This window comes from Homo sapiens, chromosome 6 (genome assembly GCF_000001405.40).
Source record: "Homo sapiens chromosome 6, GRCh38.p14 Primary Assembly".
Classification (NCBI taxonomy): domain Eukaryota; kingdom Metazoa; phylum Chordata; class Mammalia; order Primates; family Hominidae; genus Homo; species Homo sapiens.
Genome location: NC_000006.12, coordinates 28,418,381 through 28,445,318, shown reverse-complemented (window position 1 = coordinate 28,445,318; position 26,938 = coordinate 28,418,381). Strand labels below are relative to the sequence as shown.

The 26,938-nt window shown below is 40.0% G+C and overlaps 1 protein-coding gene across 6 annotated transcripts, besides 4 other annotated features; it reads left to right on the top strand.

Moving 5' to 3' along the window:
- Window positions 1,519-2,029: an enhancer, noted in NCBI's record as "H3K27ac hESC enhancer chr6:28411067-28411577 (GRCh37/hg19 assembly coordinates)". NCBI's record gives its function as "activates a minimal SCP1, AML or CMV promoter by ChIP-STARR-seq in primed H9 embryonic stem cells {active_cell/tissue: H9 hESC(primed)}" and the evidence as "EXISTENCE:reporter gene assay evidence [ECO:0000049][PMID:30033119]".
- Window positions 1,646-1,725: an enhancer, noted in NCBI's record as "active region_24359". NCBI's record gives its function as "activates an Ori minimal core promoter by ATAC-STARR-seq in GM12878 lymphoblastoid cells {active_cell/tissue: GM12878}" and the evidence as "EXISTENCE:reporter gene assay evidence [ECO:0000049][PMID:35858748]".
- On the top strand, window positions 1,828-23,919 carry ZSCAN23 (zinc finger and SCAN domain containing 23). Of its 6 annotated transcripts, none has more exons than XR_007059226.1 (7): window positions 1,828-1,920; window positions 5,112-5,244; window positions 8,976-9,460; window positions 9,712-9,859; window positions 10,241-10,867; window positions 18,914-20,976; window positions 21,479-23,919. XR_007059226.1 is itself a non-coding variant. In XM_047418384.1 (5 exons), the coding sequence occupies exons 2-4, from the start codon at window positions 9,053-9,055 to the stop codon at window positions 10,852-10,854; spliced, it is 1,170 nt and encodes a 389-aa protein (XP_047274340.1). In that variant the 5' UTR covers window positions 1,828-5,244; window positions 8,976-9,052; the 3' UTR covers window positions 10,855-10,867; window positions 13,268-18,257. The 6 variants fall into 6 exon arrangements, 2 of the variants coding, with proteins under 2 accessions (XP_047274340.1, NP_001012458.1); XR_007059224.1 differs by adding an exon at window positions 18,604-18,715 and having other exon boundaries at window positions 1,828-5,244; XR_007059223.1 differs by having other exon boundaries at window positions 1,828-5,244.
- Window positions 1,896-1,945: an enhancer, noted in NCBI's record as "active region_24358". NCBI's record gives its function as "activates an Ori minimal core promoter by ATAC-STARR-seq in GM12878 lymphoblastoid cells {active_cell/tissue: GM12878}" and the evidence as "EXISTENCE:reporter gene assay evidence [ECO:0000049][PMID:35858748]".
- Window positions 20,943-22,142: an enhancer, noted in NCBI's record as "BRD4-independent group 4 enhancer chr6:28390954-28392153 (GRCh37/hg19 assembly coordinates)". NCBI's record gives its function as "activates an origin of replication core promoter dependent on BRD2, P300/CBP, MED14 and CDK7 cofactors, and independent of BRD4, by STARR-seq in HCT116 cells {active_cell/tissue: HCT116}" and the evidence as "EXISTENCE:reporter gene assay evidence [ECO:0000049][PMID:35650434]".
- Window positions 23,920-26,938: the final 3,019 nt, after the last annotated feature.

The following is a 26,938-nucleotide window of genomic DNA, read 5'->3' as shown; positions in this document are numbered from 1 at the left end:
TAATATATGATATATAGGATAATATATAATACGTATTATATATAATATATTATATATATAACATATTCATATATTCTAGCTCTTGTACACTGAAGGAGCCTAGAGGCAATAATATGTCCTAGTAGTGAGAGGTGAAGCTGGCTGGGCTTCCGGTTAGGGTGGGGACATGGAGAACTTTTCTGTCTAGCTAAAGGATTGTAAACACACCAATCAGCACTGTGTCTAGCTGAAGATTTGTAAATGCACCAATCAGCACTCTGTGTCTAGCTGAAGATTTGTAAATGCACCAATCAGCACTCTGTAAAAATGCACCAATCAGCACTCTGTGTCTAGCTAAAGGTTTGTAAACACACCAAGCGGCACTCTGTAAAGATGGACCAATCAGCACTCTGTAAAATGGGCCAATCAGCAGGATGTGGGCGGGGCTGAATAAGGGAATAAAAGCTGGCTACCACCCCCGCCCCAGTCAGCAGTGACAACCTGCTAGCATTGATTTTTGTGCTGTGGGATCTTTGTTCTTTCCCTTTTCACAATAAAACCTTACCACTTTTCAGTTTTTGGGTCTGCACTACTTTTAAGCATTGTAATGCTCACTACGATGGTCTGCAGCTTCAGTCCTTAAGTCAGCGAGACCACGAACCCACCAGAAGGAAGAAGCAACTGCAGGCACGCCACCCTTAGGAGTTGTAACACTCACTGCAAAGGTTTACGACCTCACTCCTGAAGTCAAGTGAGACCACGAACCCACCGGAAGGAAGAAACTCTGGACGCATCTGAACAGCAGAAGGAACAAAGTCCAGACACACCATCTTTAAGAACTGTAATGCTCACCGTGAGTATCCGCGGCTTCATTCTTGAAGTCAGAGCAGGAACCCACTGGAAGGAGCCAATTCTGGACACAGTAGACTGGCAGGAACCAATGCCAGACACAGTAGCAATGAGGTTATTCATTGCCCGAAATCCAGATCTTGGTTTCTATATACCATTTTTCACTGATGTACTGTAGCTTCATGAAGCAATGGTGATTCTAGGTTTAGGGTAGGAATAGTATAAAATGGGACTGAAATATCTTTTGTGAGAAAGTGAAGTGCACAAAAACTGTTGGGAACTTATCAAAGGACATAGAAACCTGTTTGTGGCCGGGTGCGGTGGCTCACTTCTGTAATCCCAGCCCTTTCGGAGGCCGAGGGAGCGGATCACTTGAGGGACAGGAGTTCAAGACCAGCCTCACTAAGGCATAGTGGTGTGTTCTTGTAATCCCAGATACTCAGGAGGCCGAGACAGGAGGATCACTTGAACCCGGAATGCGGAGGTTGCAGTGAGCTGAGATCGCATCCACTGCACTCCAGCCTGGAGACTTTGTCAAAAAAAGAAAAGAGAGGGAGCAGTGTGAAAGGGCTCCAACTGACCAAATTTTAAATAATTTGAGCATCAACATAATAATAACAGTAATTATTTGTAAAGGAATCCATGAGTTCATCGTGATAAAATGAGACGGCAGGGAAAAGAAAGGGTATTCTTTGCAGGAAATGGCAACTAATAAATGTAGAAATGTGCTTCAGTTTCCTCACCTGTTAAATGGAGATAATTGTACCTAACTCACAGGGTTGTTATGCGGGGTAATGAATTAATACGTGTTAAAACACTATGTTGGCCGTTATTATATTGCCGCGTGGAAGACAATGTGTCACCTAGTATCTCACTTAAGACTACAGACGGGATTCAGAGTGACGACCACAGAGGTGTGGAAACCTCCGGCCTTCCTAGAAGGAACACAGCCGGAACCGCTGTTTCGCGGAGAGCGGGCCGCGGTGACGCATTTCCGGCCTTTGTAGTTTATCATTCTTTGGGCTGCGGTTGTCAAGGATTCAGAGCAGATGTGATCTGCGCTAGGTGGCATCTCCTCTCACGGATGCCTCGGTGAGCTTCGGAGTCGGGCTACCGCTGAGGGGCTTCGGAAGGGCCAGTCTGTGCACTGCGACCTGGACTGGGTGTGGGGATTTGGCGGCAGGGTCTTCTTGGCCAGAGATGGGCCGGGCAGGTGAAGGGCAGAGGAGGTTGCTCCGCAGCCTGGAAGGGCTTTGTTAACCAAAAGTCAGCGTCGTTGCCCCTACCCCTTTCCCCCACCCTATGTCTGTTCCTGAGCTCTTCAACCTCTCTGCCCTGTACTGATGGCACTCTGAACTCTCCGTATCTGCATCTTAGGATTCAAATAGATTCGGATATGAAGAAATGTTTGTATTTTCCGATGTCTTATTCTCTACTGTGGACTTATTTTAAAGAATGAGCAGGGATAGTTTTAAACTATGCCACAGCCTTTCTTAGTCTAACTCACATAGTATAAAGGCTCTTGCTGCTATCGAATTTTTTAAAAGAATAAATAGCATCTACTATGTGCCAGCCCAGCACTGTTCTAAGCACTTTACAAATATTATCTGCTTCTCATAACTCTATGAGATAGACACTATTATTATGTAGACTACACCCCACCTCTCTGTCCCGCCCCTTTTTAAAATTAACATACAAGAAGAAAATGAAGTTAGTAACTTGCCCAAGGTCGTAGAGCGAGTAAGGGGTGTAGGCAGGATTCAAATACAGGCAATTTGGCTCCAGACTCCATTTTCTTAAAACCTTTGCTATGCTAACTCCACTCTGTTCCTATATTAGCTTTACAGCTATAACCCGGGAAGTTACTTCGCTCATTTGAATCCCGTCCTTCTTTTGTACCTCAGTAGTCCTGGGCTTCTAGTTAGGATTTGATTGGAGAGAATATATCTGAAGACGTATATCTTTCAGTGTTTCTGCAAACCTGATGAAACAGCCGTTTTATTGGTTTGTGTGCATGTTTTCACCCACTCATCTTGTTCTTTGAGCAATAGAAAAAGATTACAGTCTTGGCCCTAAGGGAAAGTAGCAACTATTAATTAAACTACCATTGTACCAAAATTGTACATTATCTTATTAAAAGATTAATTTGCATGTTTATATGCCAGGTTTTGTGCAAAAACACTTTGTATGCATTATCTCATTTAATATTCTCAACAAGTTGGCAAGGCAGTTGTTGACCTCATTTCATATATGAGCTTGAGGCTTAGAAAAATCAACTAACTTGCCCAAGATCACTGCGTTAAAATTCACAGATGGCCTGGCACTATGGTTCATGCCTGTAATCCCAGCACTTTGGGAGGCCGAGGTGGGCAGATCACGTGAGGTCGGGAGTTCGAGACCAGCCTGACCCATATGGTGAAACTCCATCCTACTAAAAATGCAAAAATGAGCCAGGAGTGGTGGTGGGTCCCTGTAATCCCAGCTACTCCGGAAGCTGAGGCAGGAGGATTGCTTGAACCTGGGAGGCAGAGGTTGCAAGTGAGCCGAGATCGCACCACTGCACTCCCGCCTGGGCAACAAAAGCAAGACTCTGTCTCAAAAAAAAAAAAAAAAAAATTAACAACCAGATCTGCCTGTGTTCTCTGCTATCTCATACTACCTTCTGCTTGTCTAAGGTAAATAAAATATATGGGCTTATATCAACTCTATGTGTGCACATGTGTATACATGTGTATATACGATTGCAAATGCATAGAAAAGGACACATTCCAGTATTTAAGACTGTTTATTTCAGGGTAATAGAACTTGGTGAAAGAATTCTATATTCCTCTCTACTTTTTGGATTTAAAAAAGGTTCTGAAGAGAAGTAATGGTACAAGATAAATTGTGACTGAGGGTGAAAGGTGGGACTCATACAGTACATGACATATGAGTGGGCAGTTGGAAGAGGGTGAGCTGAAATGGGTAAAGAAGACTTCAGAGAGGATGTGAGATTTGAATCAAGCTGCAGAGATTGGGTAAGGTTCGAATAAGGGAAGAAGGCAAGACCAAGCTCATGGCGCAGGGATGAGAAACGCCTGATTAGAATAATGAGAAGAAAAACCTGACTGGAGCTGAGAGTTTTTGCTTGTGGAATAGAGGAAACCAAGAGTGGAGCCAGACAACAGAAGCTAAAGGTCTGACTGGTTTTAAACTGTGCTTGAGAGTTTGGGAATTCATCCAATTAGTGAGGAGCCATAGATGGTGTCAGCGGAGGTGAGGGTCGTGGGATATATGATGATAAAGGCACATTTGTATTACATGCTGCTTAGTCTTCACCTACGTGCATGTCCTTGGTTAACAGCATCCTTCCATGAGGATGATGGTAGATTTGGGGGTGTTCAGCTTGCTGAGGCTCTAGGAGGAACCAACTTTAAAATGCAGATGTATTTTTTAAGGTAAGACTTATTATGCTAATTATATACCTGGCATATACATTGAGGTTGTGATCCTGAATGGAAGATTAGGAACTCTATGTTTGTGACGAGGAGGGCAGTATTACAAAAAACTGGGGAAGCCTTTTGGAGACACCAGGTTCAAAGAAGAACTCAGGTATGCTGGTGCAAGGATCTGGGTATTAAGGCCACCAGATAAAAGCAAAATCAGGTGAAGGAAAGCAAAAATGAACCCAGAGTATACAGAGAAAATAGGGAAATTTGTATTTGGGAAACTGTATAAAGATTTGAAACACCACATCCCAGAAATGAATTTTTCTGGGCAGAGCTCTAAGCTTCAGCTGCATTGCCTTTGAATAGAAAAACTTTGACTTGAAACCAAGCGGCACAGGTGGTAAATAAGAAAAAGACATTTTCGGACCCTAAAAGATTGAAAAAACAAGAAAGCATAAGTGGCTGTTTCATCCTTTGAATCCATGGTACGTTTATTGAGTAATGTGAGAGTACATATTCTGGATTTAGCTATTTGATATTTCTACCACAAAACTTTCTTACCCTAGAACCAATTCAGCAGATCATGTTTCAAGCCATGATGATCTCTTCCCTGGATGATTATCATAGCATCCCTCTCTGCCTCCACTTAACCCCAAGGTCATTGACACAGCGGCTAGAGTTATGCTTTTGTGTTAAATGGAAGTAAAATTTTGTTACCCCTTGGCTCAAAAATCCCCAGTGGTTTCCATATCTCATAGAATACAAGTTAGAGCCCTTACCACTGCCTTTCATGATCAGTTCCCAAGCTCCCTGCTTTATCTCCTGTTACTTTCCCTTTTGTTTTCTTTGTTCCAGCCATTGTTCAACTAGCTATTACCTGAAGAATCCAGGTGTGTTCCCACCTGCAAAAATTTGCACTTGGCAGTTACCTTTGCATGGAACAGTCTTTCTCCAGATAGCCATGTGACTTGCTCCTCACTTCCTTCAGGTCTGTTCAACCATTACCTTATCAAGGCCTTCCCTGACTCTATAAAATAGCAACCTTTCTTTCCCCTTACTCTCTCTCTCCTTACCTTTATTTTCTCTATAGCATTTATCACTACTTCACAAATACTTAATTATTATCTGTTTCCTCTGACCCGTTTTCCTCATCCTGGCCCCTCTTTTCCCCAACAGAAGTTAGTGTTGTAGCAGTGGAGACTGTAAATTCTGATGTCAGATTTGTTGGGTTTGAATTGCAGCTTCACTGCTTACTATCTGTAACTGACTTGAACTTTGGACTAGTAACTTAAACTTTTCATATCTCAGTTTTCTCATCTGTGATATGGGGGTAATAATAGCACCTTATTCATGGTTGTTTTGAGGATTAAATGGGTTAATATATATAAAGCATCTGTAACAATACCTGGCACGTTAAAAGCACTATAAATGTCCGCTATTATTAATACTGTTATTAGGATGTAAATTCCATGAGACTAGGGACTTCGTTATAATTGCAGCTGTATCCCCAGTGCCTAGAACAGTACATGGAATATGGTAGGCTCTGAATATATATTTGCTGGTAGGCTCTGAATAAATATCTGCCAAGTGAATGAATGGTGTATGAAAAGTTATGACAGAAAAAGATAGTATGGTAGTCACAGTGGTGGTGAGTCGCACCAAGAAAAGTGGAGGAAGGCTGGGCGTGGTGGCTCACACCTGTAATCCCAGCAGTTTGGGAGGCTGAGGCAGGCAGATCACGAGGTCAGGAGTTCGAAACCAGCCTGGCCAACATGGTGAAACCCTGTCTCTACCAAAAAAATACAAAAATTAGCTAGGCATGGTAGCGGGTGCCTGTAATCCCAGCTACTCAGGAGGCTGAGGGGAGAATCATTTGAACCTGGGAAGCAGTGAGCTGAGATCGTGCTGTTGCACTCCAGCCTGGGCGACAGGGTGAGATTCCGTCTCAAAAAAAAAAAAAGTGGGGGAAAACATGAATTTGCAGATTCTGTCTTTAGAGGAAAAAAATCCTCTGTACATTTCCTGGGGTAGTGATTACAGAAGGTAACCAAACCAAAGATGTCAGAACTTTATGGAGAGGATTATGTGTGCAGGTTATCCGGAAGGATGCTGTCCCATGCCAGTAGTTTGTTTCCCCTTTGATAAATATAACCAATAATCACAATATGAATCTAATTTTTCTTCGGGTTGTAATGTGATCAGTGTTCACTTGTAATTTAAATACCTGATATGGTTTGGCTGTGTCCCCATCCAAATCTCATCTTGAATTATAGTTCCCAATTTCTCATAATCCCCATGTGTCGTGGGAGGGACCCGGTAGGAGACAATTTAATTATGGGGGCAGGTACCTTCATGCTATTCTGGTGACAGTGCGTTCTCATGAGATCTGACGGTTTTATAAGGGGCTTTTCCCCCTTTTGCTCGGCACTTCTCCTGCTGCTGCATGTGAAGAAGGACATGTTTGCTTCCCCTTCCACCATGATTGTAAGTTTCCTGAGGCCTCCCCAGCCATGCTGAACTGTGGGTCAATTAAACCTCTTTCCTTTATAAATTACCCAGTCTTGGGTATGTCTTTAGTAGCAGCTTGAGAACAGACTAATAAAATACCCTATTCTTAGTTATTTAATTTCACAATGCATGTCAACACCTTAAGAATAGTGTAGGGTTGCTGGGCGCGGTGGCTAATGCCTGTAATCCCAGCACATTGGGAGGCCAAGGCGGGTGGATCATCTGCGGTCAGGAGTTCGAGACCAGCCTGGCCAACATGGTACAACCCTGTCTCTACTAAAAATACAAAAATTAGCCTGGCATGGTAGTGGGTGCCTGTAATACCAGCTACTCAGGAGGCTGAGGCAGGAGAATTGCTTGAACCCAGGAGGCGGAGGTTGCAGTGAGCTGAGATTGTGCCACTGTACTCCAGCCTGGGCAACAGAGCAAGACTCCTTCTCAAAAAAACAAAAACAAAAACAAAAAACAACAAACAGAATAGAGTAGGGTTATTTTTGCAATGGATTACAACAATTTTACTTAAAACAAAAATATTTTATTCTACAGGTTATTATTCATTTGTGGGTCATAAAATCTATGTGGTGTGTCACAACCCACCACATAGATTTTATAACCCACAAAATCTGTTCCCAGGCTTTTTTGTTTTGTCTTTTAATGAAATAGGTTTAAAAATAATTGTATGTCACTATATAGAGCAAGGATACATAGTGTTTTGTGAAATTATTATTTTAGGTATTTGTGTATCTCATAAATGCACAAACATATATACATATGCATGTGTGTTCTGGGTTATAATATAAAATATTTCTTAATAAGAGTCCTGGTCAAAAAAGTTTGAAAGTCTCTACTCGAAGATGGTGCTTAGAAATCACTGGGTCATATAATTGTTTTTCTTTCAGAAAATTTTCTTCATTAATTACTATCCTGGTAAAGATTGCTCATAAGTTTGTTTGTTTTTGTTTTTGTTTTTTTGAGACAGAGTCTTGCTCTGTCGCCCAGGCTAGAGTGCAGTAGTGTGATCTCAGTCCACTGCAACCTCTGCCTCCCGGGTTCAAGCGATTCTCCAGCCTCAGCCTCCTGAGTAGCTGGGATAACAGGCGTGTGCCACCAAGCCCAGCTAATTTTTGTATTTTTTAGCAGAGACGGGGTTTCATCATGTTGGCCAGGCTATTCTCGAACTCCTGACCTCAGGAGTCATAGACATTTGTCTTTTTATTAGCAGTAATTTTATTTTACATAAAATTGCCTACTCTCCACCTTCAAGTAGCTTCAAAGAGAAAAAGTTTCAAAGAAATTAAAGGGCAAGAGAAAGGTCAAATTCTACTCCTGTTTTAAAGTACTGGAACCAATATTTCCGTCATTTTAGTATCTCTGAGCCTAGACCACTGCAGTCAACTACTTTCTGATTCTTTTGCCTTAGCCTTAAACCACTAGGATATTCATTTAATCATACAATAACATAAGAAAAATAAGTGTTACCACTTTGGAGTTTACTAAGTAGCCAACTTCTTTGTGCTCATTATCCTCGTTTTATCTTTGTATCAACCTAGAAAGATAGGCAGTGTTGGTTTTAGGATTCCTGTTTTATAGATTGAAGAGACCAAGGCTCAAAACATGAAGCCCAAGACTCTGGAGGGAATACCTGCAGGTTGATGTCTCAGTCCAAGACCTTACACACTTTAAACCTAGATCTCCCTCCTCCATACCTCCTATGGCTGGAGGGACTCTACCTTCTATGGCTGGAGGGACTCTGCCTCCTCTCTCCAAGTGCATTTCTTACGGTTCTTATTCTTTTTATATTCTTTACTTTCCCTCCATCCTCCATTTGTTTCCCTTTTCTTCTTGATTCTTGGTGTCATCTGTGACCACTTGGGCCCAAAGTGTTTTTTTACCTTCATACAGCTAAAATTTACCCTGAATTTAGTATCTTGCTATTCAAATGGAAACCCAATATACTCAAGCTGATTTGAGCTGTTTCGGTCAGGATGATTGAAACAGTACCTTCCTTCAGAAAACTGTAGGCGTTTTTGTTCCATTTCTTTTTTCTTCCTATATTATCTGGATTTGTATTTCTAAAGTATCTATCATTAATCAGGTTTTGGTGTTCCTTCATGAGACAGAGTGACTGATTTTAGTGTAAATACTCCAGTCCCTCCTTGTCCTGAGGTTTTCTGCATTTTTATATTTTTTTCTTCGTAAATTATTGTCTAGATCTCGGGGTTTCCAGAAGAAAAGATCAAGGGAGAATTATCAAGAATAGATTATTTTTCTGAATAGTTAAACCTTTGATGGCCATAACCTTGACCCTTCAGACTGCAGAGATGCAGGAAGGACTTCTGGCAGTGAAGGTAAAGGAGGAAGAGGAGGAACATTCCTGTGGGCCAGAATCAGGCCTGTCAAGAAATAACCCTCATACCAGAGAGATCTTTCGTAGACGCTTCAGGCAGTTCTGCTATCAGGAGTCCCCTGGGCCCCGGGAGGCTCTTCAAAGACTCCAGGAGCTCTGCCATCAGTGGCTGAGACCAGAGATGCACACCAAGGAGCAGATCCTAGAGCTGCTGGTGCTGGAGCAGTTCCTGACTATCCTGCCTGAGGAGCTCCAGGCCTGGGTCAGACAGCACCGTCCTGTGAGTGGAGAGGAGGCAGTGACTGTGCTGGAGGATTTGGAGAGAGAGCTGGATGACCCAGGAGAGCAGGTGAGAAGATGGGAGAACAGGGATTTGTACCTATAAGAACAAGTATGGGGTTTCAGTGCAACAAGAAAAGGTAGAGGAGGAGGATTTTTTTTTTATGCCAGACTTGATCTTCTGTAGGCTTTTAGTCTCTCTGCCTCTGTTTTTTCTTTGCCAGCTTCTTGGTCCTTCTTTTCTATCCAGCGGCCCTGAGGAGGCCTCCTTGCCATGTTCTCTCTGATATTGGGTTCCCAACTGTCCTTGATTTCCACCAGGTCCTGAGCCATGCTCATGAACAGGAAGAGTTTGTAAAGGAGAAGGCAACTCCAGGAGCAGCTCAGGAGTCATCAAATGACCAATTCCAAACCTTGGAAGAGCAACTTGGGTATAATTTGCGAGAGGTGTGCCCAGTTCAAGAGATTGGTGAGGATCAGGATTTCCTCAGACAGCCTACCTCATTCCCTGAATATTTATCAATTCAACCCATTTATTTAGTGTCTGCTGTATGCCAGGCACTGTGCCAGGTACCAGGGATACAGTGATAAACAAGGCAGATGTGGTCCCCACTCTCACGAAGTTTACAGTCTAGTGGGAGAGGCAGACAATTAAGTAAGCAGTTATAATACCATGCATCTTTTCCCTGAGGTCTGGGTATAATAGCTTTAGAGTGGAAAAATAAACAGAAAAAGTGGCTACTTGTCCCCTTCCACCCATTCTCCTGGCCACTTTTTTTCTTTTGTCTTTGGAAAGATAATCTGTTATTTTTCATACTTCATGTTATCTTTCATGTTATCGTTATTTTAGATGGCAAGGCTGGGACTTGGAATGTGGAGTTAGCCCCAAAGAGGGAGATTTCTCAGGAAGTGAAATCTCTTATACAAGTTCTTGGAAAACAGAATGGTAATATTACTCAGATTCCTGAGTATGGAGATACCTGTGACCGTGAGGGCAGATTGGAAAAGCAAAGGGTGAGCTCTTCAGTGGAGAGACCCTATATCTGTAGTGAATGTGGAAAAAGCTTCACCCAGAATTCCATCCTTATCGAGCACCAGAGAACACACACAGGTGAGAAGCCTTATGAATGTGATGAGTGTGGGCGGGCCTTCAGCCAGAGGTCAGGCCTATTCCAGCACCAGAGACTCCACACTGGGGAGAAGCGCTACCAGTGCAGTGTTTGTGGCAAAGCCTTCAGCCAGAATGCCGGGCTTTTCCATCACCTCAGAATTCACACTGGGGAGAAGCCTTACCAGTGCAATCAGTGCAATAAGAGTTTTAGTCGACGTTCAGTCCTCATTAAGCATCAGAGAATTCACACTGGAGAGAGACCTTATGAATGTGAAGAATGTGGCAAGAACTTCATTTACCATTGCAACCTAATCCAGCATCGGAAAGTCCACCCAGTGGCTGAATCAAGCTAGCTCCTTGGAACAGGTAGGGGATAATATTTCTTACTTTGTCCCTGCTGTGTCCTCTAGCATAGAAAAGTTCAAGGGAAAGCCAGTAAAAATTCCCTTACTTTTATGCAGAGAGAAGCATAATATCTTAAATACATCTGCCGAGTTCTCTGATCAGTGACATCCACAGCTTTGCAATACTGAATGTTGCCTCTTGTGTTGATTTCATCATGTATGCTGTAGACCTAGTTTCACACACATCTGTGCAAGAAGTTTTCTATTTCAGGAAAACTTCTTCATCCTAGTTTTTAAAAACTTTTTTTAAAAGTTTAAAATAGTTATATGTAGGCTGAGTACAAAATAATCTCAAATGCAGTTCACCGAGTATTTAAAAATTAACTTAAAAATAATTGTAATAAAATTCATAATATAGGTTTCCTGACTTCTTTCCATTCACATAAAATATGATAATTTGTTTTGTAACCTACAAAAAGGGGCAGATGAATCCTCCTATATAAATGTAGATTTATAGTAAGTTAGATTTCTATAGATTTTTTAGTTAGCCTTTAGGAACCAAGGAACTGAAGCAGCCATATGTTATTAGCAGCTCAGTGGCTCCTCATAACAAATATTGCTCATGATTTTAAATTTACGCAGAGGCTAAGAAACTTAGCTAAAAATCTGATATCTCACCTCAGATTTCTTATTGGAAAATACAGGCCTCTTTGTATTTTTCCCGTAACATATAATGAGCATTTTTTTGTTTTTGCCTTTTTCTCCTTTATTCAATATTTTGTATGGAAAATTTGAAACATATTCAAGATTGAAGAGAAGAGTATGATCACTCTTTCATGTTGATTGTTTTTATAACCTCCACATTTTCTCAGCATTTACTATTGATTACCACCAAGATCATAAATAAAAAAATTTATTTCCCTTAACATTGACTTAGTAACTCTTTACAAAGCTTTACACAAGGTCCAGGAGACAAAGAAATGGAAAACCTATGGTGAAAACAATCTGGTTTGGAATACACCCAAATACCCAATACATAGCAAGTAACTTTAGAATAACAGAATCACTCTAAGGGACCTTAGAGATCACTTCTGCTTGCTCTTATTTGACAGATAAGAGAAAAGGAAGTTCTGGGAAGTAACTAAGATCATACAGCCAGTTAAAAGCAGAGCTGGAACTAGAACCCTGTCTCCTACTTCCTAGTGTAACATTCTATTAAGCCACTGGAGGCATTATATCACCAAATAAAAATTACAAGTATATGGAATTTATAGGATTTATAAGTCACTGAAGTTGCTCAACAAACCCACCCATTTATATGTTTCAATAAAGCACAACTCCTCTATTTAATTTACAGTGGAGTCCAGGAAAGACTCTTCTCATTTATTCCTCATTGAAAGCATTTTATTTTTGTAATTATTATTTTTAGCTTTTAAAATTTAATTTACTCAGTAGGACTTTTTTAAAAAGATAATTCATTCTTCACCTGGTTCAAAAATCAAAATAATACAAAAAGGTCTACTTTCCCTTTATAAGTAGCCATTGTACTAGTTTCTTATGTATCTTTCAGTGTTTCTTTATGTAAATATAGGCAAATATGAATGTATAATCTTATTTCTTCCATTACTCAGGAAGATGGCATATTATTTATACTCTTCTAATACCTTGCTGTTTTCATGAAAGAATATAATCTTTAGAGATGTCCACATCATAACAGAACTTCTTCATTCTTTTTATAAGTGAATAGAATTTTATTTGTTCATACTCCATAGTTTAACAAACTCCTATAGATGAAAAATCTCACTATTTTAAAATGTTACATATTCTGTTTCATTCTTTTCCCCAGTTTAGTCCAAGTTAAATTCCTTCTGTTCAAAAGCTAACAGCTTTCATATGAGCTAGGAAACAAGGCGTGGGCAACCAGAATTGCACATAATTCTTCTACAGAGAAATGGAGAAGTGATGGGTGGTATTTTTCAGTTTAGTGTATTTAGTTCTATCACATATTCTTACACCTTACATATCAAACTGTTTGTGTCACTACTTAAGGCTTATTGCGGGTATTATAAAAAACTTATATTTCCTGAAAAGTATTTTTTATTGTGTCTTGAGGTTAAATTATTTCCAAGATAAATAGCTACAGATTTTTGAGTGAAGTTAAGAAAAATATAGTAGACTCGATTTTGAAGTAAAATCAACTTCTTAAGTAAATATGTATTCCATAAAGTGATGTAATACATATTCTATAGTATTCTGAGTTTATAAATATCTTAAATGCTTCTCCATTTAAGATAATGAGAAAAGTGAAGTCCAAAGTGCTTAAGCACTTGTAGTAATCTTTCTGTCTTTTATTGCCTTAAAAATTTTGTAAAGGAAACCAATTATGAACAAAGATAATTGTGAATTATATATGGTTTCATAGACACTTACACTTGGAGCCCTGAGACCCACTGTAGGCATCTGCAAACAACAGCAACAACAAAGTGGGATGGAAAGAAAAAAGAACAAAATATAAGAACATAAAAAAGAATCAGACAGAAGGTAAAATTAGATGCTAAAACTCTAGATTGGGCAAAAAATGTTGACCAAAGGAAAAATAAAAAGATAGATGCAGAGACAGAGTGTTGCCAAGAAACATGCTTCATCTTCATAATAATTATTAGAAATCTCTCTTATTTATCAACTGGTCCAAGTTTTTAGATACTATTGTCTTAAGCAGTGAAAATCTCACTGCCTTTTACTCCTCACACTTTTTATTACTTTCCATAAAATGGAGGACAGGGAGAAAAGCAGTCTATAAACCACTGTGATTTTTAGATCTCCTTGAACCTATCCCCATTTTTCTATGCCAACTGCCAATGGGCAGTGTTGAAAGCACTATTTCTTGATGATAGCTGCACTAGAATCACCTGGGTTGTTGGTTTGAAGTGCAGTTTTCTCAGCCCCACCCCAGACCTACTGAATCAGTTTCTGAGGCAGAGCCTGAAAATCTGTATCTAATTAGCATATTAGTGGTCCACACACATAAGGTAACTATATAATTTATTGTCCAATCTGGGACACTTGAAAATGAAAAGGAGTGCTGTTAATAATTACACCAAGACAACAGGTATAAACCAGGAGGTACGGTCCCCATACTAATAATTTTTGCAATAGGCAGTATTTTTTCAACCAAGCATATAGAAAAGACAGAGAATCAGAAAGATTACAATGTTCTGTCATGAAAGCTAAGGCAGAATATATATGAAAAAGGCTGTTGGAGACTTAGGTGTAGCCACCTAGCCTGGTAACCCCCAGTAATAGATCTATTGGATTAGGAAAGAAAGGATGGGATAATATGTCTGCACAAACAAAACAGAGGGCCCCCCCATCCCGCCCCTAATTAAGACAAACCCATTGTTAACATAACTAGTTACCTAAGATTAACCTATTGAGTGAATGGTTTACCAGACAAGATGGACAACATCCTGGAAGCACAGGAGTGTTTCAGTGGTATAGGGACCGATGGAGTACAGTGTTCAACCTTATACTGTAGAAGAAAGTGAGAAGATAGAGTACTGGATCAGAGCTTGCAGTGTTAAGGCAAACAGTGAGCCATTTTAAGCAGGTAGTCGGATGAAGGGGAAGGGGGCAGATATTGTACCAAGTAGTTTCATAATTTATCACATTCACTCCACATCATTTGTTGGCTGTGGAGGAGTCCTCTTGCCACTTGATGGTACCAAAGACAGCTGACCCTGCCTTAAGTGTGTCAATAGATCTTCATAGCTATTCAGCAATTGACTCAAGATCATTGACTGCAGGGGTGGGGGTGGTGGTGGCCTCCCCTCATCACCCCTGACTTCTGCTAATTCATTGTAGAGGGGTATGTAGTCAGGGATCTATAAGCCCCAAACTTGCTAGTGGTTAAGTTACTCGGGGGGACCTGATTTATTTAAACAGGTTTAAAACAATGGAGAACAAGCCAACATCTTCCCCGTTTTCCTCAGGTGGGTGTTGATTATTGCATTTGACCCTTGGGGGCAGAGTGAAGGTAATTGGACAATTTGTGTGGTACAGATAATACCAGACCTGGGGTTGGTTGGTTGGTTGGTTGTTTTGTTTGGAAAGCCCTTTATCTTCTGAGAGACATGACTAGGGCTGTGGGAGGAGCTCTGAGTGTGCCTGTGCCTAGACTCCTACACCCCCATCAGCCATCCCAGGATCTTGGTTGGGCTCTAAGGTGCTCGTTGGGGCCGAATTGAGGAATCTCCCTGAGGATAGAGGGAAAGACCCTGATGCCTGAGACCCTGGAGGACCCGGGACCTAGGGAACGGAGGACACGGAGGATCCAGTGCGAGCAGTCAAGTGTCTTCAGCAGGGGAGAGAGAGAAGTCAGCCCAGACTGAGTGGCTGCTGGACACAAGAGGTTACGACCCCTGTCGGCCTCAGCCTTTTTGAGGCGGCTTCTGCGCTCACAAAGGTGAGCCAGGTGGTGTGCACAAATGAACCACTGAGATTGATGGATCCTCCAAGAATCCTAGAGAGGCGGCAGAGGAGCCGGCCGAAGTGCGTCCTTTCTCCTAGAGAGGTGTTCAGGTTTTAGTGTCCTGGGACTGTGTGTGTAGGCGGTGTCCTGGTCTCTTCTACCCATGCAAGATGCTTTATACTTTCTCAGCGATCCAGAGATAACGGTACTCGGAGGGGGTGCTGTTGCCCCCTTTTCCAGGGCTTGCTCGAGTTCCCCTCTTTTACGTAGATCTCTCAGGATCAGGATTTTGTGTTTTGTGTCTGCTCCATCAGACATTTCAGAGATACAGAGAACTGAACAAAGCGCTGTACAGAGCTAGGTCTGTATGGATCACCCCCTTCTGAGATGAGGGCACAGACTTACCAGCAAGGAGGCCTCACCGGAATCCATCAGCTGACAGGTCCTTATGGCCAAAAGCTGGCTTCCGTATACGTTTTCTGAATCCTACGGCCGTTTTAACCTGAACAGTTTTTTCAGAGTTTTCATAAAAATCCCCTATGCTAATGGTCACGATATTGTGTATCTGTAAAGGCTTAGTACTTAAAGAAAAATACTTTACATGGTCCCCACAATTCTGCAAAACAGAGGGAAGTGGTACGTGAATTTCTCTGGGTAAGAAAACATTCAGAAGTTAGAACATTCAAGCAAGCATTTATTGAGTGCCACATAATGGGCCAGGCTTTATGTTGCAAAAATGGGAATAAGCCAGATAAAAGGCATTTCTTACTGTATAGTGTAATGGGAAAGACATGTTGCCTTGAGGAAAATAAACTTCGTACATAGGGACTTTGGAGGTGGAACGTTAAAGATAACTTCCCTGAGTAGGCAATAGCAGAGCTGTCTCTGTGGACTCTCAGAAGTTGGATAGCAAAGAGGAAATGGACCTTGAGGGATAGTTATAGTATGTGAAGGAGGGATCAGAAAACCATTTCAGAAAACCACAAGTAAATGAAGGTGGGTGCATTCCAGCCTGGGCAACAAGAGTGGCAGAGGTGGGGCAAAGAGAGTAGAGAGTAACTGAAATATGCTGAGGAATTTAAAGTTTATAGGGTGGTGTGCTTTTCCATTTTCTTAATGTCACAGCACATAAAGAAAATTTGTATGCACACTTCCTGGCCACCCCGGTAGCTGAAGAGATCAGTATGCTGGTGGTACTCCTATAAGCCATTTGAAGCACCCAGTAAACTGTGGCAATGCACAGTAGTTGGGCAGTTATATGCTCTGTCTGGATTTAAGCAGAGGAGTAATGTAATCTTACTAGCTTTCTAGAAATATTCTAGAAGTGGTGTGGTGAATGAATTGGAAAGGGGCAAAACTGAAAGCAAGGGAGATAAGAGACTTGTAGTTGTTAAAGAAAGAACCAAAACCATAAGTTGGTGAAAGTAAGTCACTGGCTATAGAAATAAAGAGGGCACCAAGTGGAACTGTGTTAAAGATTACAGATTTAACTAGACCTGATAACTAATTAGATTGATGAAAGTGAGAAAGAAAAGGTACTGAGAGAACTGCCTGTCACACACTAAGTGTATTCTTTAAATAAAATAAATGTAGCCAGGGATAAATAGGCAGGTTTTTGGATTAAATTATTAGGTAAGTGTGGCACAATTTTATAAGAGATGGCTAATATTGGAGAATAAATTGGTCACAAGGGGAAAATGATGAATTTTTGGTGGTGAGTTGAAGATGCTTGTAAGACATACAAGTGAAAAGGTCTAATGCACCACTGGACTGTAAGGGCCTGGAGCTCCAAAGAAAGATTGGTATGAGAGAATCAGGCTTAGGAGTTTTCAGGTGAAAGCTGATGTCATCAAATGGTTGAGATTGCCCAGAATAAATATGGGATGAGAATAAGGCTGGATTTCAATTTAGGATACTAAACATTTTTTTTTGATGGAGTTTTGCTCTTGTTGCCCATGCTGGAGTGCAATGGCTCAACCTCAGCTCACCACAACCTCCGCCTCCTGGGTTCAAGTAATTCTGCCTCAGCCTCCCAAATAGCTAGGATTACAGGCACGCGCCATCACACCCGGCTAATTTTGTATTTTTAGTAGAGATGGGGTTTCTCCATGTTGGTCAAGCTGGTGTCGAACTCCTGACCTCAGGTGATCCACCCGCCTCAGCCTCCCAAAGTGTTGGGATTACAGGTTGGAGCCACCGTGCCCAGCTGGATACTAGACATTTTTGACAGGCAGAATAAGAGCTACGAAGTAGACTAAATAATAGTCATTAGAAACGTATTTAACAGGTACTTGTATAATACAGTCATGTGCCATATAGCGATGTTTCAGTAAACAGCAGACCACGTGTACAATAATAGTTCCATAAGATTATAATAACATATTTTTACTATACCTTTTCTGTGTTTAGATATGTTTAGATATACAAATACTTGGCTTTGTGTTATAGCTGCCTACAATATTCAATACAGAAACGTGCTGTACAGGTTTGTAGCCTAGGAGCATTAGGTTATACACTATAGCCTAGGTGTATAGTAGGCTCTACCATCTAGGTTTGTGGAAGTACAGTCTATGATATTCTCACAATGATGAAATTGCCTAAAGACACATTTCTCAGAACATAACCATGTGATTAAGCAATGCATAACTGTTCTTCCTGAGTGCCAAGCATTAGGCTAAACGCTACAAAAACCAACTTATGGAAGAACAACCAGAAGAGTATAGTGTTTCTTAGAAGATTGGGAGTAGTTAGCAGTGTTAGGTGCTGCAGGGGCATCTGGTAGGAAAAGGATTGAAAAATACCCACTGGGTTTGTGTACCAAGGGGGCCCTGTTTGTTTAACTTGGGACTGATAAGTCAGATGTGAGGTCCCCTGACTGACATGCACACTATTCTAAAATTAAAAATACTTTTGGGCCAGGCGCGGTGGCTCATGCCTGTAATCCCAGCACTTTGGGAGGCCGAGGCGGGTGGATCACCTGAGGTCAGGAGTTTGAGACCAGCCTGACCAACATGGTGAAACCCCGTCTCTACTAAAAATACAAAATTAGCTGAGTGTGGTGGCACATGCCTGTAATCTCAGCTACTTGGGAGGCTTGAACCCGGGAGGCAGAGGCTGCAGTGAGCCGAGATCGCGCCATTGCATTCCAGCCTGGGCAATGAGAGAAAAAACTCTGTCTCAAACAAACAGACAAACTTTTGAAATCATCTAGCACAATTCTTGGCACAGAGAAGTTGACTTATACAGGCATATGTCATTTTACTTGCACTTTGCTTTATTGCACTTCACAGATACTGTGTTTTCTGCAAATTGAAAGTTTGTGGCAACCCTGCATCAAGCAAGTCTGTCAACACCATTTTTCCAACATCATGTGCACACTTCGTGTTTCTGTGTCACATTTTGGTAAATGAGTATTTCAAAATTTAAAATTATTATTATATCTATTATGGTGATCTGTGATCAGTGATCTTTGATGTAATTTGCAATTGTTTTGGGGCACCGCTAACCACACCCATATAAGATGCCTAACTTAACTGATAAATGTGGTGTGTGTTCTGACTCTTCCACCAACCAACCATTCCCCCATTTCTCTCTCCTCAGGCCTCCCTATTCCCTGAGACACACAGTGTTGAAATGAAACCAGTTAATAACACTACAGTGGCCTCTCAGTGTTCACGTGAAAGGAAGAGTCTCACATCTCTCTCTTTAAATTAAAAGCTAGAAATGATTAAGCTTAGTGAGGAAGACATGTTGAAAGCTGAGATAGGTTGAAAGCTAGGCCTCTTGTACCAAACAGCCAGTTGTGAATGCAAAGGAAAAGTTCTTGAAGGAAGTAAAACCACTCCACTGAACACATGAGTGATAAGAAACCAAAACAGCTTTATTGCTGATACGGAGAAAGTTTGAGTGATCTGGAAAGAAGATCAAACCAGCCACAACATGCCTTTAAGCCACAGCCTAATCCACAGCAGGGTCCTAACTTTCTTCAATTCTGTGACGGCTGAGAGAGATGAGGAAGCTGCAGAAGAAAAGTTAGAAGCTAGCAGAGGTTGCTTCATGAGGTTTAAGGAAAGAAGCTGTCTCCACAACATAACAGTGCAAAGTGAAGCAGCAAATGTTAGTGTAGACACTGCAGCAAGTTATTCAGAAAACCTAGCTAAGATAGTGGATGAAGGTGGCTATACTAAACAACATATTTTTAATGTAGATGAAACACTTTATATTGGAAGAAGATACCATCTTGGACTTCCATAACTAGAGAGAAGTCAGTGCCTGGCTTCAAAGGACAGTCTGCCTTTCTTGATAGGAGCTAATGGAGCTGGTGACTTGAAGTTGAAGCCAATGCTCATTTACTAAGCTGAAAATCCTAGAGTCCTTAAGGATCATGCTGGCTGGGCATGCTGTAATCCTAGCACATTGAGAGGCCAAGTCAGGAGGATTGCTGAGCCCAGGAGTTTGAGACTAGCCTGGGCAACATGGAAAAACCCTGTCTCTACAAAAAAATACAAAAATTAGCTGGGTGTGGTGGTACACACCTGTGGTCCCAGCTACTAGGGAGGCTAAGGTGGGTAGATTGCTTGAGCCTGGGAAGCAGAGGTTGCAGTGAGCCAAGATTGTGCCACTGCACTCCAGCCTGGGTAACAGAGAAAGACCCTGTCTCAAACAAACACACAAACAAACAAAAAGAATCATGCTAAATCTACTCTGCCTGTGCTCTAGAAATGGAACAACAAAGCCTGGACGATAGCACATTTATTTACAGCATGGTTTACTGAATATTTTAAGCCCACTGTTGAGACCTACTGCTCAGAAGAAAAAAAGATTCCTTTCGAAATATTACTGCTCATTGACAATGCACCGAGTCACTGAAGAGCTCTGAGGGAGATGTGCAAAAAGGTTAATATTGTTTTCATGCCTGCTAACACAGCTAACCATTCCACAGCCCACAGATCAAGGAGTAATTTCAACTTTCAAGTCTTATTATTTAAGAAATACATTTTGTAAGGGTATAGCTGCCATAGATAGTGATTCCTCTGATGGATCTGAGCAAAGTACATTGAAAACCTTCTGGAGAGGATTCACATTCTAGATGCAATTAAGAACATTTGTGATTCATGGGAGGAGATCAAAATATCAACATGAACAGGAGTTTGGAAGAAGTTGATTCCCATCCTCATGGATGACTTTCACAGGTTCAAGACTTCAGTGGAGGAAATAACTGTAGATATAGTGGAAATAGCAAGAGAACTAGAATTAGAAGTGTAGCCTGAAGATGTGACAGAATTGCTGCATTCTTATGATAAAATTTGAATGGATGAGAAGTTGCTTCTTATGGATGAGTAAAGAAAGTGGTTTCTTAGGATGAAATCTACTCCTGGGGAAGATGCTGTGAAATTGTTGAAATAACAGCAAAGAATTTAGAATGTCACATAAACTTGACTGATAAAGCAGTGGCAGAGTTTGAGAGGATTGACTCCAACTTTGAGAGTTCTGTGGGTAAAATGCTATTAAACAGCATCACATACCACAGAGAAATAGTTCATGAAAGGAAGAATCAACTGATGCAGCAAACTTCAGTGTTGTCATGTTTTAAGAAATTGCCACAGCCACCTGAGCCTTCAGCAGTTATCACCCTAATCAGCCATGAGTCAGCAGACATTAAGGTAAGACTCTGCAGCCTCAAAGATTATGACTCAGTGAAGAGTCCTGCATTTTTTAGCAATAAAGTATCTTTTAATTAAGGTATATGCATTTTTTAGACATGCTACTGCACACTTAATAGACTGTCATGTAGTATAAACATAACTTTTATATGCACTGGAAAGGCAAAAAAATTGTGTAACTCACTTTATTGCAATATTTGCTTTTTTGCAGTGGTCTAGAACCAAATCTGCAATATGTCCAATGTATGCCTGTAAATGTTAATTGACCCATCTGACATGCAATATAAGCATACCAAGTTGTGTGCATTACTTTTTGCACCTATTGTTTTTGATAATCATCTGAATATTTCACTGAATTTTCTAGATCTAAAAGCTAATAGTGTCTTATTCTTCACTCTTGAAGTAACTGAAATGTCTTTTAGTTAATTTTATGTCATTTTTTGCTTATTTATCTTTCACAGAAATTTTTTTTTTTACCTTCACACTTTTTGCCTTGATACAGCCATTCACTCAGTAAATATGTTCCAGTTTGGAGCTGATCTCAACAATGATGTGTTATGCCTTAGCATCAGCCTGAAGCATACGCACTGCTGCAGTGAGCCAGTCTTCTGAGCTGTTTCACCCAGGAATGCATTCAGACCAACTGCAGAAGAATGAAAGAAGTGTCAAATAGTTAAAGAATCTAGCCCACACAGAAAGGGAGCTTCTGGTCAGGAGTTCTTCAGAGAGGATATGGTGGGTATTTACTTGGGCCTCAAGGGTCCAGCTTCAGGTTCTTTGCCATCAGTGGTGGAGACCAGTGATACACAGCAAGGAACACGTCTTGGAACTACTGATCCTGACCATCCTGCCCAAGAACTCCAGGCCTGGGTATAGGAGCATCCCAGAGTATAGGAAAGAGGCTGTCTGTACTGAAGAACTTGGAGAGGAAGCTGAATGATCTGAGAGGAAAGGTAAAATGAAGAAATGTCTTATCAGATAGCAGATATTATCTCCAGAGAGAGATAAGAGAGTTGAGATAACTTCTCTAGCGTAGTTAGAGAAAATGGCTAACATGTTATTGGCCAGAGTTATTTATTTTTGTTCTAGTTTGGTGAGTTTTTTTTAACTTGTAGGCCCTGTGTATTTTCCCCTCTTTGTCTGTGTATCCCTGCCCTTGCAGATGACAGAAAACTGCTTTCTGCCCTCCCATCGTGTGTTCCACAGTAATAATGGGATTTTAAGCTCTAACTTTCAGCAAATGTCACCCTCATTAAACTCCATCTAATTGTGCCCAGTTCCCCACCCTCCTACAGGGGACAAGAAGTGTCCCAACGCAAATAGTGTATCTGGCAGCCTCATAGGACTCAACTGGAGTCCGGCTCCAGCCAGTAAAGGGTCAACTCAGCTCTGAATGTTGGGAGTTTCACACTGTTAAGGAGAACGCTGAGGAGGAGATAGCAAAGAAGAAGTTAGGAAATGTTGGTGTCTTTTTGCATTTTTCCAAATGAACCTTGTCACTAAAATCTCTGCATACCTTTCATTTAATCTCTATTGCCTATTCCACTTTTAACCTGTTCCTCTAAGCATACCACTTTAGCCTGGATTATGATTCTTTTCTTTCTTCACTTCTTTGCCTTAAAATTGTTTTTTTTAAAAAATCCTGCTACTCATGTTACCTTGCATGGTTCAGTTTCTCCCTTCTAATACTGCCAACTTCCTTAACCCAGACCTCTTATCGCAAAGACAGGAGAATGTTTTTCTATATTGAAGCCAATAGAAAACTACTAAAAGGCTACATGCAATTAGTAAATTTTTAAATGTACATTTTTTAAATGAGTGTAGGAAACATAAAACTTTAGTAGGTGCATGCTTACTGGGAAAGCACGCATGCATGCTAAAATGTCATTGTACAGTACATATTGTTTACCACTTGTTTTTTAGTTTAATATTACATTATGGATATCTTTTCAAGTTACATATAATACCTATATGTAGCTGACATACATTTCACTGCAAGGGTATTGAATTATTTTGTAACTGGCCTTAGAGGGTTTTTACATTGCTGCTTTTTTCTTTTTTTAAATACTACCAACTAAAAGCCATAAACTCTTTTCTTTTTCTTTTTTTCTTCACTCTGTACTATGAAAAAAGTTTAAGCATATATAAAAGTACAATTGTACTACTTCTAATAAATCCCCACAAACCTGTCACCCAGCTTCAACATTATCAGATTATGGCCAAACTTGTTTCACTTACAACTCTACTCATATCCCATGCTTTTATATATATATAATTTTAAAGCATATCTGAGCTAGCATAGTCTTTCAAATGTAAATATTTCAATATTTGCTGTAAAAGATATGAATTTTAAAAATGTAAACATAATACTATTTTCATACCTAAACAATTAACAGTAATTCCTTAATATCAATTTTCCAGTTTTCTCAAAGATGTCATAAACTTTTTTTTGTTCATTTTGTTTTTTAACTTATTTGAATCAAGATCCAAGGAAGAAAACACATTGTGATGGGTTGATATGTCTCCTAAGTTTCTTTTAATATATGGGTACCCTCTCCTGTTTTCTCTTCCAACTCACTTGTTAAAGAAAATGAAGTTGTTTGTCCTGTAGAGTTGCACACAGCATGGGTTTTGCTGTCTGCATCATGTGCTATAGTCTAAGATGTTCTGTTGTCCTCTGTATTTTCTGTAAATTGTAGTAATGTACAGGCTTGATCAAAATCAAGTTTTAAGTTTTTTTGACCAGATAAATTTAATGATTTTGGCAAGATGGTGTGTTCTATTTGAAGCCTATTATTTTCTGTTTGTCTCTTTTTCTGTGGTGTTAGCAGCTATTGATCCTCAATACCTATAGCCAGTAATCCATTACGGGTCCCAAAATGGTGACATTCTAATTGCATCCTTCTTTCTTCATTTAATAAAGCTGGAATAGTTATATAAAGAGACATTTCCCCTGATTTTTTGTTTAGTTATTCAATGGTTTGTTTAGGAAAGGCAAGATAATTGCTTAAGTCACTCCCCACTACTTTGCTTTTTAAATCAGTTTTCAAAACAATGAATTAGTTTGTAGTCATCCTTTAAAACAGTGACCAGTTGTTAGTAATAGTATCATTAGGAACTTTTGGATTGAAGCGTTATTTGATGTTTTTCAGTCCATAATACTATCCTTACTAAAGCTCATTTGTCTCCTCTTTGAGCAGTAGAAACCTTTTCAGTTTGGCATGTGAATCCTTATGACATGAACCTAGTCATCTTTGATAGTTTTCTTGCTGACCTGTATGATAAGATGTACGAGGCCCATCTTATAGTTTTCCTTACATAGTCCTAGAATTAATACTTTTTCCAAGGACCCCCCATTCTGCCTAATGGGAAATGGTATTTCAAAACCAAAAATAGGGCATTAGGAGTGCTTATGGCTTAGTCATTGGTCCTAGGCCTTTCCAGTACTCAGAGTTAGGAAAAAATTTAAAAGAAAGTGTGTATCATGAGTTCACATTGATAGTTCTAATTCACATTTACTACTTCGGGGTCTTAATCTCTTATCTTCATCTGTATCTCCTTTTAGAGGATTCTCAAAGACACCAGGAATGATAGAACATCAAATAATTACTCATTTGCTGTCCCACAATATATACACAATAGCCTCATAATAAAAAACATCGCATTACCCACAAATATGATTACTGTAAATAGCTTAATGGTGGCGTGTGTGTGTATACACATGTTTTCTGTTCTTTTTGTTCTTAAGATATATCTCACTTGGGCTATACAAAAAAAAAATTTACTGCTTTAAGGACATATGAAATAATTATTCTTTTATATGGTTATGCCACCAGTGGATATACACATAAGTTCCTTCTGTTATCTCTTCTGGCATGTAGTTCTAAAAAGTGCTTATTTCGTGAGCAAGTGATTGAGTAAAGTATATGTGAATGAGTGAATTATGCTGACATTTTCAGTCTCTTCTTTCAGATGATTTGATCAAAATGAAGAATGAGAATGTTCTTCCCAAACAAAAGAAATGAAATAACATGCCAACAGGAAAACACTGTCAGATTTGATGGCAGTATTCCTGAGAACTTTGTGTAGATGTCCAAATGTATGAGGAAAGACTAGGAAAATATCCAGAAAATACCACAGTGATGAATGTGGAATAATTTTTGCTCAGAACTCTGTCCTAATTCAGCATCAGAAATTCACACTGGTGAGGATTCCTATGAATGTAACAAGTATGGGAAAGCCTTTACTCAGGAGTGTAGGCTTCATGCAAATAAGATAATTCACACTGGAGTTAGATATATAAATGAGAAGAATATGGGAAAGCTTTCAGTGCAAACACTGGACTCATTCATCGTTAAGAGAATCCATACTGGAGAGAGACCCTATAATAAATGTGACAAGTGCAACAAAGCCTTTGGCCAGTGGTCAGTCCTCAACCAGCACCAGAGGCTTCACACCAGGGAGATATGTTACTACCAGTGTAACAAGTGTGGTAAAGTTCACAGTCAGAATTCAGCTTTTTCATCATATCAGAATCCATGTTGGAAAGAAACCCTTTCAGTGTAATCAGTATAGTAAAATTTCTCTTTAACGTTCATTCCTTATTCAACACCAGAGAATCCACTCAAAAGAGAACTTAGGAAGTTGATAAATATGGATGGAAAAGGCTTTGCATAATAGCTTCTCACCTGACATTGAAATTTTGTGAGTGTCCAGCATCTGAAATTGGCAAGGCAGAATTTCTTCCCACCAGACCTTGAACTTGGTTTGGATGAGAACTGGCCCTTCAAAATGGTCCCCACCAAAATCCTGTCATTTAACAGAACAAGCCACTTACTTTTCCCCTAACCGCTAATCAAATAAAACACTTTTGTGATTCAGAGTGGCCTGTGGACCACCAGTTCAGTTTCCAGATGTTTTACTAGTTGTTCCAAATTACAGTTCTCACAAAAGCTTAGACTGTTGTTTAATAATACTTTTTAGTGAAAACTTAAGTTGTACATAAAATGCAAATAAGAATATTAGATGATTAATGTATTTTAAATGTAGCTGCAGTGGTGATAATTTGTCAAGTCAAACATGTTTAGCATCCTTTTACGGACAGCACAGTGAATTCTTGGGCCTTCCATTCCTACCTAAGTTCTGATGTATAACATGTACCTCCCAGCCAAGACTCCAAACAAGAAAGATGCTTTTTTTTTTCCTCTCTCTCTCTCTTAGAGACAGGATCTTGTTATGTCACCCAGGCTACAGTGCAGTGGTACAATCATATAGCTCAGTGTAACCTCGAACTCCTGAGCTCAAGCAGTTCTCCTTCCTCAGCCTCTTGACTAGGTAGGACTACAAGTGTATGCCAACATGCCCAGCTAATTTAAAAAAATTTTTTTAGATGGAAACTCACTGTGTTGCCCAGGCTGGTCTTGAACTCCTGGCCTCAAGCAATCCTCTCACCTCAGCCTCCCAAAGCTCTGGTATTATAGGCATGAGTCACTGCACCTAGCTGCATCTTTTTTTTTTTTTTAATAGAGGTGTGTTAATTTTAATTTGCATTAGGAAAACACTGGAGATACCCAAGCTGGTCTTCAAAGGAAGGGAATAAGCAGACTCAGATTTTGTTTATGGGCCAGGCAGGTAAATGAGTAAAGTAGTCCTAGAGTCAAAAAAAAAAAAAAAGTGAAAACAAAACAAGTTTTATTGATTTATTATTATTATTAATACATTTTATTAGGGGTTCAGGAAAATTGCCAAAATCCTCCTTATTGATTTTGAGTTCTACTGCAGGAGAAAGATGATCAAGTTAATTGTTCATTTTGACCACCATAAACATAATGATCTTTTTATACTTTTGAGTATAGTGTAGAAAAGCTTACTACGTTTTACTGCTGAATCATTTAAATAATCAACTAATAGTCTTTGAACCATCATTAATTTTAATACCAGTCTGTAAATTATGTCATATGTA